Below are 12,709 nucleotides of genomic sequence, written 5' to 3'. Positions count from 1 at the left end.
ATGAAAAAATATCAGACAAACCCAAATTGAAGGTAGTATAAATATCTGGCCTTTAAAAATGTCAAGATAATAAAAGACAAGGAAAGCCTGAGGAACTGTCTAGATTGAAGAAGATATGTACATGACAACTAAATGCTGTGGATAATCCTGGGTTGAGTCCTGGAACAAAAAGGAAAAGGGGAAAGGGAAAGAAGTTTTTAAACAATTGTGGGTTTTTTGTTTCTTATTTTGTTTTGTTGTATGTTTGCTATAATGGATACTATTGGGATAACTGGTAAAATTTGAAAGGGGTCTGTACATTAGATAGCACTATATCCATGTTAATTTTCTGATTTTGATGGGTATGCTGTGGTTTTATAGAATAGTGTCTGTGTTTATAAGGCCAGTGGGGCATTATGTCTGCAACTCACTATTAAAAGGTTTAGAAATGTATATATATGTATAATATATATAAACTATATATCATATATTATATAATAAATACATAAATTAATATATAAATTATACAATATATCTATAAATTATATACATATCTATAAATTATATAATATATAAAATATATATAATATATAAAAGTATATAAAATAATATATATGGCATATATAAATTATATACATATGATTTAGAGAGAGAGAGAGAGAATGGTAAATCGTAATAAGTGGTGAACCTGGGGCCTAGATGAAGTGTATGAAGGATTTTCTTGTACCATATTTTATAATTTCAAAGTTATCTTAAAAAAGTTAAATAGAGAGCACAGATATTATGTGAAATAATTAAAAATAATAAGACTGTATTGAAAAATATATTCTTCAGAAAAATACCCTCGACACAGTATAGAGACAGATATTGTTAAGGAACTGAATAATGTAAGTGGCTAGGGCAAGCAGCAACTCTCAGAGATGTGTCCCCAGGGGCAACATAGTTCCGCAGCAGATACGGCTTTTGGGATCCCAGTGACAACATTCTGGTGAGGCTCTAGTCCCTAGTGCCCAGTCCGTTCCTCCAGTGATCCATCAGAAGTAAAAAGAGGAATGCAGCAATGTAACAGAAAACAATACAACAAACTACTCAAAAGCCAATAAGCACCATCTAGTGGCAAGGAGGTGATTTTCCCCATTTTGTGTGTGTTGTCAAATTCAAACTGCGTGGGCCAATTTGCATTCCTGGCAGCAGATTGTGAGAGTTTCCAGGGTTCTACATCTTCACTAAGCTTGCTAAGGTCAGACTCACTTTCTCATTTTAGCGAGTACAGAATAGTATTTCCTACAAACTGACAGTAAGATTTAGAGGTTTGTTTTTGATTCAGTTTTTAAGATTTATTTATTTAGGCAAGGATACTCTATATATGATGCTCTATACTTCCTATTGTATCACAGCAAGAGGCACGTAATGTCTGGTTATCCATCAATTAAATGTGGTTCAAATGTGGTTGACCTGATTCATCAATAGATATAGTATTAAGGATCCTTATCTATCTTTCACCTAATGGTTTTAGAAACCACTGATGATTTTTACTTAGATTCATCATTTTGTAAAATATTTCAAAAATAGTCATTTTCTAATTTATCATTCTTTCTGCATTTATTAACTGTAATTGTTCTATAAAGAACTTTCCCTCATCAACCACTAGGTACCTTGAAGTCCAGCCCACATAAGAAAAGCAGGGTAAGTGATAACTTACATTTATCGATTTTTAGCATAATGATTTGGTGTCTTAGTGTGTTGTGTGTTGCTATAAAGGAATATCTGAGGCTGAGAAATTTATAATGAAACGAGGTTTGCTTAGCTCACGATTCTGCAGACTGTACAAGAAGTACAGTACAGGCATCTGCATCGGGTGAGGGCCTTAGGCTTCCATCCATGGTAGAAGGTGAAGGAAACCTGGCGTGTACAGAGCTCCATGGTGAGAGAGGAAGCAAGAGAGAAACAGAGGAGATGCCAGGCTCCTTTTAACAACAGGCTCTCATGAGAACTTACTGAGTAAGAACTCACTCCTGGGAGAGGGCATTAAACTATTCATGAGGGATCTGCCCCTGTGATCCAAACACCTCTCATTGGGCCCCGCTTCCAACATAGGGTATCCAATTTCAACATGAGATTTAGAGAGAACAGTATTCCAAACTATAGCAGTTGGTATCCTGGCAATTGGTGAATGAAGACGATTTTTTAAAAAGACTTATTAAGGACTCTGAGATTTTTACACTTATGATTTCTATTCATTGTAGTCTTTATTCCTTTTCTCTTTTTTAAAAAATTAATATTATTGGAATTATAATTTAAATGCAATAAAATGCACTCATTTAGAAACTGTGCAATTGACATCAAAGAGCTTATCCACCATGATCAAGTGGGCTTCATCCTTGGAATGCAAGGCTGGTTCAACATATGCAAATCAATAAATGTAATCCAGCATATAAACAGAACCAACAACAAAAAAACCACATGATTATCTCAATAGATGCAGAAAAGGCCTTTGACAAAATTCAACAACCTTCATGCTAAAAACTCTCAATAAATTAGGTATTGATGGGATGTATCTCAAAATAATAAGAGCTATCTATGACAAACCCACAGCCAATATCATACTGAATGGGCAAAACCTGGAAGCATTCCCTTTGAAAACTGGCACAAGACAGGGATGCCCTCTCTCACCACTCCTATTCAACATAGTGTTGGAAGTTCTGGCCAGGGCTATCAGGCAGGAGAAGGAAATAAAGGGTATTCAATTAGGAAGAGAGGAAGTCAAATTGTCCCTGTTTGCAGATGACATGAATTGTGTATCTAGAAAACCCCATCGTCTCAGCCCAAACTCTCCTTAAGCTGATAGGCAACTTCAGCAAAGTCTCAGGATACAAAATCAATGTGCAAAAATCACAAGCATTCTTATACACCAATAACAGACAAACAGAGAGCCAAATCATGAGTGAACTCCCATTCACAATTGCTTCAAAGAGAATAAAATACCTAGGAATCCAACTTACAAGGGACATGAAGGACCTCTTCAAGGAGAACTACAAACCACTGCTCAATGAAATAAAAGAGGATACAAAGAAATGGAAGAACATTCCATGCTCATGGGTAGGAAGAATCAATATCATGAAAATGGCCATACTGCCCAAGGTAATTTATAGATTCAATGCCATCCCCATCAAGCCACCAATGACTTTCTTCACAGAATTGGAAAAAACTACTTTAAAGTTCATATGGAACCAAAAAGAACCCACATTGCCAAGTCAATCCTAAGCCAAAAGAACAAAGCTGGAGGCATCATGCTACCTGACTTCAAACTATACTACAAGGCTACAGTAACCAAAACAGCATGGTACTGGTACCAAAACAGAGATATAGACCAATGGAACAGAACAGAGCCCTCAGAAATAATGCTGCGTGTCTACAACTATCTGATCTTTGACAAACCTGACAAAAACAAGAAATCGGGCAAGGATTCCCTATTTAATAAATGGTGCTGGAAAAACTGGCTAGCCATATGTAGAAAGCTGAAACTGGATCCCTTCCTTATACCTTATACAAAAATTAATTCAAGATGGATTAAAGACTTAAATGTTAGACCTAAAACCATAAAAACCCTAGAAGAAAACCTAGGCAAGACCATTCAGGACATACGCCTGGGCAAGGACTTCATGTCTAAAACACCAAAAGCAATGGCAACAAAAGCCAAAATTGACAAATGGGATCTAATGAAACTAAAGAGCTTCTGCACAGCAAAAGAAACTACCATCAGGGTCAACAGGCAACCTACAGAATGGGAGAAAATTTTTGCAATCTACTCATCTGACAAAGGGCTATTATCCAGAATCTACAATGAACTCAAACAAATTTACAAGAAAAAAACAACCCCATCAAAAAGTGGGCGAAGGATATGAACAGACACGTCTCAAAAGAAGACATTTATGTAGCCAAAAGACACATGAAAAAATGCTCTTCATCACTGGACATCAGAGAAATGCAAATCAAAACCACAATGAGATACCATCTCACACCAGTTAGAATGGCTATCATTAAAAAGTCAGGAAAAAACAGGTGCTGGAGAGGATGTGGAGAAATAGGAACACTTTTACGCGGTTGATGGGACTGTAAATTAGTTCAACCATTGTGGAAGTCAGTGTGGCGATTCCTCAGGGATCTAGAACTAGAAACACCATTTGACCCAGCAATTCCATTACTGGGTATATACACAAAGGATTATAAAACATGCTGCTATAAAGACACATGCACATGTATGTTTATTGCGGCACTATTCACAATAGCAAAGACTTGGAACCAACCCAAATGTCCAACAATGATAGACTGGATTAAGAAAATGTGGCACATATACACCATGGAATACTATGCAGCCATAAAAAATGATGAGTTCATGTCCTTTGTAGGGACATGGATGAAGCTGGAAACCATCATTCTCAGCAAACTACCGCAAGGACAAAAAACCAAACACCGCATGTTCTCACTCATAGGTGGGAATTGAACAATGAGAACACATGGACACAGGAAGGGGAACATCACACACCGGGGCCTGTTGTGGGGTGGGGGGAGTGGGAAGGGATAGCATTAGGCGATATACCTAATGTGAAATGAAGAGTTAATGGGTGCAGCACACCAACATGGCACATTTATACATATGTAACAAACCTGCATGTTGTGCACATGTACCCTAAAACTTAAAGTATAATAATAAAAAAAAAGAAACTGTGCAATTGAATGAATTTTGAAAAATGCATATGCCTGTATAACTACCCCCACAATCAGAATAGAGAAAATTTCTTTTTTTTTTTTGAGACGGAGTCTTGCTCTGTTGCCAGGCGGGAGTGCAGTGGTGTAATCTCGCTCACTGCAACTTCTGCCTCTAGGGTTCAAGCGATTCTCCTGCCTCAACCTCCTGAGAAGTCGGTATTACAGGTGCCTGCCACCATGCCCAGCTAATTTTTGTATTTTTGGTAGAGATGGGGTTTCACCATACTGGTCAGGCTGGTCTTGAACTCCTGACCTCAAGTGATCCACCTGCCTCGGCCTTCCAAAGTGCTGGGATTATAGGCGTGAGCCACTTTGCCTGGCCTAGAATATAGAATATTTCTATCACCCCCAAAAATTCCTTTCAGCCCCTCTGCAGTGAGTCTTACTCCCACTCCATCCCTAGCCCTAGGCAACCATTAATCTGCTTCCTGTCACTATAGAGTAGGTTTTTCTAGGAATTCCTAAAAGTAGAATCATGTCTCTGGATTCTTTTACTCAGTTGCATCATATAGTAAGTGTTCTGTTATTCTCTTTTGATGCTCAAATTGTTGCCATTTTTGGCGAGTGGAGCATTTTTAGTTTGACTCTTTCATTATTTTGATATGACCCCAGTAGTCTCTGATAGCTTTCTGTCTTTCAGGCACAGCAAGTGGTCTCAGGCTCAGGATGTATATTTCCTATTCTATATGAAATCAGCCAGTTCTTCAAAGGCCTTGCTTGCTTCCTTGGTCTTTGAAGACTATAATCTGAGCACTAGGGATGATCATTGCTACTAAGTTGTTATTACTTCCAGAACTTTCCAGTGGATAGAACTGGGAAATAACTATTTTCTAGAAGGAGAAAAGTAAATAATGAGTTCGTACTGATATTTTCTATTTAAATTAAAGATTAGAACTTTAACCTACTTTGTAATATTTTGCCTTTGTTCTCTTAAGCTAAAAATCTTGGTTTTTAATAACATTAACATGTATTTGTCTTTTCCTACCATATAAATAATGTATATTTGCTATATGTAGCTATTTATTTGTTTATTTTTTATTTTAGAGATAGGGTCTTCCTATGTTGCCCAGGGTAGAGTGCTTGCTATATTGCCCACTGCAGCCTCAAACTCATGGCCTCAAGCAATCTGCCTCAACCTCCTGAGTAGCTGGGGCTACAGGTGCAGCTACCACACCCAGCATCATAGGTATTTTTAAAATAACAGTTTCAAAATAGCAACCCCAATATTGTAAGTAACAATAAAATGACTAAATACAGGTTACACTTCTTTGTGATGTTTTAGTCTTTAGGATATATCTCACAAAAGAATGAAAGCCAAAATATTCCTTTTGCAGTCATTAGACAGAGCTCTTCTCTATTTGGTCTTGCCACCAACTTACTGTAGAGCTAAGTTCACTTGTCTCAATTTGGTTTAGATTTTTAGGGATTGCTTTTTTCTTTTATTTTCTTCTTAAAGTAATTGGTTTTTGAAGTTATTTAATAGTCACATTTACATGTTTTGAAAGTCAAAACCATATGACAGATTTCATCTGAGAAGGTTTATTTCCAGTCTGTGTCCCCTGCCTTTCTTTTTCGTTAACAGATTTATTTTTTAAAACAGCTTTAGGTTTACAGAAAACCTGCCTCTTTTTCCCTATTATTAATGTCCTGCATTATTGTGGTATATTTATTACAATTGATAGCCAACATTGGTACAGTTATTAACTAAAGACCATGGTTTATATTAAGGTTTGTTGTTTTGTGTTGCACATTCTGTGGGTTTTGAAAAATGTCTAATGACATATCCACCGTTACAATAACATACAGAGTAATTTCACTGCCCTAAAAATCCCTTATGTTCCAATATTCATCCCTCCCTTCTTTCCCCAAAACCCTGGCAACCACTGACCTTTTCCTGTATCCATAATTTTGCTTTTTATTGAATGTCATACATAATAGTCCCCCTTTATCCTCAAGGGATATGTTACAAGACCGACAGTAGGTGCCTGAAACTATGGATAGCATAGAACCCTACACATACATACTTATAAGGTTTACTTATAAATTATGTGCAGTAAGAAATTAACAACAATAACTAATAATAAAATAGAACAATTATAACAATATACTGTAATAAAAGTTATGTAAATATGCTTTCTCTCTCAAAATATCTAATTGTACTGTACTCACTCTTCTTGTACATGTTGATTTGATAACAGAGACAGCTATTAAGTAACTAATGTATCTGGTAATATATAGAGCATGGATGCACTGGACAAAGGAATGTTTCAGGTTCAGGGCAGGATGGAGCAGGATAGCACAAAATTTCATCATGCTACTCAGAAGAGTGTGCAATTTAAACCTTATGAATTAGTTATTTCTGAAACTTTCCATGTAATATTTTCAGGCCTTGGTTAACTGCAGAAAGCAAAACTGTGGATAAGGGTGGATTATTACAGTTATAATTATCTACTGAGACTGTTTTTTTCACTTAGCAGTATGCGTTTAAGTTTCCTCCATGTCTTTAAGTGGCTTGATAGCTCATTCCTTTTTAGTTCTGCATAATACTCTGCCGTAAAGATGTACCACAGGTTGTTCATCCATTCACCTACTGAAGGACATTGTCTGCTTCCAAGATTTGGCAATTATGAATAAAGCTGCTGTAAAAAATAACATACAGCATTTTGTGTGGATGTAAGTTTTCAACTCATTTGGACAAATACGAAGGAGTATGATTGCTGGATCATACAGTAAGAGTATGCTTGGTTTTGTAGGAAGCTGCCAAACTGTCTTCCTATGTGGTTTTACCATTTTGCATTTCCACCAGCAATGAATGAGAGTTCCTGTTGTCCACATCCTCACAAGCATTTAGTGCTGTCAGTGTTTTGAATTTTAGCCATTCTAATATATGTGTAGTGGTATCTCATTTTAATTTGCAATTCCCTAATGACGTATGAGGTTGAACATCTTTTCTTATGTGTATTTGTCATCCTCTGATTCCTGTTTTTTCCTTCCGTTATAAGTAATCATTTTTTTATCGGCTTTTGGTTTATCCTTCTATTATCACTTTTAAAAAATGCTTATTCCACACACACTCACACACATACACTTATAGTCCCTCTTTCTTAAACAAAAGGTAGCATGCTATACGCAATTCACAGCATCTTATAAACTATTTTTTATAGTGGAATAGTACTTCATCATTATTTCTTCAACCAGTCCTTTATTGATGAACATTTGGATTGTTTGCAATCTTTTGCTATTACAAATAGTACTACAATGAATAAGTTTGTATATACATCATTTCATATTTCTGCCTATATATCTCTGAGATAGATTTAGAAAGGTGATTGTGGTGTCCAGGATTAAATGCATATGTAATTTTGCTAGATATTGCCAAATTCCCATCATACTGTTTTTGCATTCCTGCCAACAATATGTGAAAGTGCCTATTTCCCTGCAGAGTTGGTAATAAGGCATTTTGTCAGACTCAAGGATTTTTGCCAACATGGTAGATAACAAACTGTAATGTTCTGTATTTTAGCTGGATGGTGGGTACGCGGAAGTTTGTTCTATTCTTAATTATACATTTTTCATGTAACTAAAATACTTCATAAAATAAGCTAACATAAGGAATTGCTCTTAAAGAAGAGCAGTTTTCTATTTTGGCTTTAGAAGAAATATATCATTTTTACGGATAACTTAACTATTGACTGAAATCTCGAATGATCCACAACTAGACTTGAAAAGAATTTCAGAGACAAGAGATTCTGACCCTATCATATAACAAATTCAGGCTCTAGGGCTCAAAGAAGCCAAGTAATTAGCTTGAAGTTACATAGTTAATGAGAAACAAGCTTGCCTTTTAACTATAAGGCATTGCAGTCAATATATAAAATTTATGGAGAACATTATCCAAAAAACTGGGATGTGTAACACTCATCTTCATAACAATTCCACCACATTTAATGATACAGGAAATAGAATGCATTGCATCAAGGTCAAGGTATTGGACTGATTGCCACTGTGTTTCTAAGTGCAATTCTGAAAGCTGGTATAAGCTATAAAACTCATATTGTTTGGTTATGACAGCCTTATTAATCATCTTTCTCCTTTTTCAGCTTTTCAGTAGAATAGATCAGCTACTGAGCTCCCACCAACAGTCCTCAAATTTAGTTTATGAAATCTGTAACATATTCAGGACCTATATATATTAGAAATTCTCTGTCAATGTTACTATGAGAGTTGTTTGTAATTTTTGAGAGCAAAGTCTGAAGAACCGTCTTTTAGAACTGGATCATTCTTACAGAGGGGCAAAGTGAGACTAATGTTTTCACAGTTTTAATCTTGTTATATGGTGTCGATACTTTAAGTATTTTATATTAAATTTGCATTCTGAGGCTTCTCAATAAAAGCAACATGGAACGAATTACTCAAAATCACCAATTATCCAATGATGTCATTCTTAGGAAAATAAAAATAATTTTGTGACACAGAGTCCAATCTAGTCCAGGATCACTTATTGCATTTAGCTGCCATGTCACTCTTGTATTCTTTCATCTGGGATAACTCCTCTGGCTTTCTTTGTCTTTCATGAGTTTGACATTTTTGAAGCATATGGACCAGTTACTTTGTAGAATGTTCCTTAGTTTAGGTTTGTTTGATGTCACCTCATGCTTAGATTCGGGTTATGCATTTGGGTTAGGGTTAGCACAGAAGTGATGCTGTAATCTCAGTGTGTTGTGTCATACACACATCAGTTCACATAATATTGGTTTGTCTCAGTAGTCATGATGCTACTTTGGTTAAAGTGATGTCTGCCTGTTTTCTCCACTCTAAAGTTGCTATTTTTCCCTTTAAAGTTAAAAAGTAATTTGTGGTGAGATACTTCGGGGCTATATATCCTGTTTCCCGTTGAACATTTGCCCACCAGTTTCAGCACCCATTAATGATTCTTGACTGAACCAGTTGCTACTGCGATGGTTACCCATGGTACAAAGACATTCTTTAGTTTGGGATTTCTTAAATTATATTGGTTTGCATTTTCATCGAGTGTATACAATGTCAGAGAAAATCAAACAAATAAATCAGCAACCCAAAGAAGGAAATAAAAGGCCAGGCACGGTGGCTCATCCCTGTAATCCCAGCACTTTGGGAGGTTGAGGAGGGCTGATCACTTGAGGTCAGGAGTTCAAGCCAGTCTGGCCAACATGGTGAAACCTGTCTCTACTAAAATAAAAATAAAAATTAGCTGGGCGTGGTGGCACACGCCTGTGGTCCCAGCTACTTGGGAGGCTGAGGCAGGAGAATTGCTTGAACCTGGCTGAGATCACGCCATTGCGCTCCAGCCTGTCTCAAAACAAACAAACAAACAAACAAAAAACACAAGAAGCAAATATAATAAAAAATTTGAATAAATGACAGAAACTGATTTGAAGTATGAATGACTTGCTCACTTGCCTAAATCTGTCTTTTGACTTGTAAATGTAAGGTCAATGAAAGCTTGGAAAACCTTTTAAAATTTAATCATCACACTGTCATGGGAGATAAGTAGAAAACAGTTCTGCTCCCCACCAAGATAAGTTTAAAAACAGACATTCTTTCGGGCTTAATTGGAGCTGTTACATCAAGTACTTGTCATGGGGGCAAAATTAACTATTAATGAACTTGAGCCTTTTCAGATGGCTTCAATATGCCTTGCTTTTGTATTTCTCAAAACAATTTGAGTGTTTTTCTTATTAATAACTTAAATAAAAAATTAATTTAATCATTAAATATTTCCAGTATACAGTAAATAATATTAGACAACTATTTACCTACCATCTGAATTTAAATGATATTTACATTTTGCCATCTTCAGAATGTTTTTCTCTAAATAAATAAAATAATATAGATACATAATATTATGGATATAACTAAAACCATACTTCTATCTCTTTGCTTTATCTCCCCAGGGTTAGCCATTTCCTGTCAATAATGTATCATTGCCATGCATGAGTTTATGTTTTGGACACACATACACACACACACACACACACACACACACACACACACACTCTATATATAGATACTGTATATATGCTCTCTCTATACATACTGTGTGTGTATATATATACATTTTACATAGGCTGGGCATGGTGGCTCACGCCTGTAATCCCAGCACTTTGGGAGGCTGAGGCGGGGAGATCACTTGCGGTCAACAGTTCGAGACCAGCCTGGCCAACATGGCGAAACCCCGTCTCTACTAAAAATACAAAATTAGCCAGGCGTGGTGGTGTGTGCCTGTAATCCCAGCTACTCAGCAGGCTGAGGCAGGAGAATTGCTTGAACGTGGGAGGCAGAAGTTGCAGTGAGCTGAGATGGCGCCACTGCACTCGAGCCTGGGAAACAAAGTGAGACTGTCTGAAAAAAAAAAAATTCAAAAAAATAAATCACAATAGGATACATTCAATTTGATATAATTTGTGTATAATTTTATATGCCCAAAATAATGTTTGTATATATTGTATCATATTGATTGTATCCTACTGTGATTTACTTTCATTTTTACTTAATATTTTTGGAATTGATCCACTGTATACATGTACTTATGATTTACTTGTTTTAACTACTATATGAAAACCTACTGTATGAATACTTACATACTGTTTATTTCCCAACCAATGAAGAATTAGACTGTTTTTATTTTCCTTATTTCTGCCTCAAACGGTGAGGTAATAAATATTCTTATATTATACATTCTTCCTTGTGCATATGTAGGCAAGTTTCTCTGGACTAAAAAACCTGAGTCTTGGTGTAAGGACATTTTCAGCTTTACTAGGTAGTATCGAATTGTTTTCCAATGGTTGTACCTATTTATATGTCTATCAGCAGCTCACATCCTTCTGTGCTTGGCGTTATCAGACTTTCTACTTTGTTAACAACTAGAAGAATGTGAACTTTTTTCTTCTTATTGCTTAAATTTGCATTTCTTAATTTGTAGTAGACAGAGCTTCTGTTGATATGTTTTTACTTCTGGATTTTCTCTCTTATATACCTGTTTATGTCCTTTGCCCATTTTTATTGGGTCATTTGTCATTTTCTCATTCATCTGTAAGCATTATTTATGGTGAATTTTAATGTTTTGTTCTGTACCTTGTGAACATTTTCTCCTACCTGTTACTTGATCTCTTTGTTTATAGTGCTTTTGGTAAGTAGAAGTTTTAAATTTAATATAACTAAAATTACTAACCATATAGTTTAATTTTTGTGTGTCTTGAAGATGAGACAAGCAGCATTAGAGATTACCTGGACGAGACCTATTTGGCTATGCTACTTATTCCCTAGTTCTATATCACTACCAATGCCTATGGTAGCAGAAGAAATTGAGACAAATTCTTAGAGTTTGAACATAGATGGAAATCTTAAGACTGACTACAAGAGGCTGCAGTTTAGGCAAATGTTTTCCCTGAGCTAACTGGAGAAACTTCAGAACAACTCACAGTTTTAGTATCTGTTTTTGTTTTGTTTTATTTGGGGAGGGCAAGGGTTGAATGAGGTAGATGGGCTTTTGTTGCTTAACAATGATCATAATTTACTTTATTCTTAGAAGAAATGTGTGTTTAATGGAAAAGGGAAGTATTAATAATGGAATATGCTACTCTTTAGTAATAAGAAGAAATTAACAAAAAAGACACTAAGTCTTGAATCACACGACTCAATAGGAATACCCAGAATATTTCTCATAACAGCCTGCTAGTTGTGTGAATGACAGCTGGGATTTATAACACCTGATGCCTCACACTTTGCCATATGTTAAAAAATTTCTTTCCTGGAAGGATTAGATGGCTGGCCACTTTTCTTATCCAAAATGAAATAGCTCGTACCCAACGCCACCTTGCTGAATACTTGAATAATAGGATATATACAAAGTTGATACAATACCCATCTTGCTTCCAAATTAATTCTTTAAATTTATAGAATTAAAGCCAAATTTATATTC

The 12,709-nt window shown here is 35.8% G+C and overlaps 1 annotated feature.

Moving 5' to 3' along the window:
- Window positions 984–1,278: an enhancer, noted in NCBI's record as "tiled region #3457; K562 Activating DNase unmatched - State 12:CtcfO". NCBI's record gives its function as "activates a minimal TATA promoter and a strong SV40 promoter by Sharpr-MPRA in K562 cells {active_cell/tissue: K562}" and the evidence as "EXISTENCE:reporter gene assay evidence [ECO:0000049][PMID:27701403]".

This window comes from Homo sapiens, chromosome 4 (genome assembly GCF_000001405.40).
Source record: "Homo sapiens chromosome 4, GRCh38.p14 Primary Assembly".
Taxonomy (NCBI): Eukaryota; Metazoa; Chordata; class Mammalia; order Primates; family Hominidae; genus Homo; species Homo sapiens.
The sequence above is the reverse complement of the archived record's forward strand: the minus strand, read 5'-3'. Positions and strand labels throughout refer to the sequence as shown.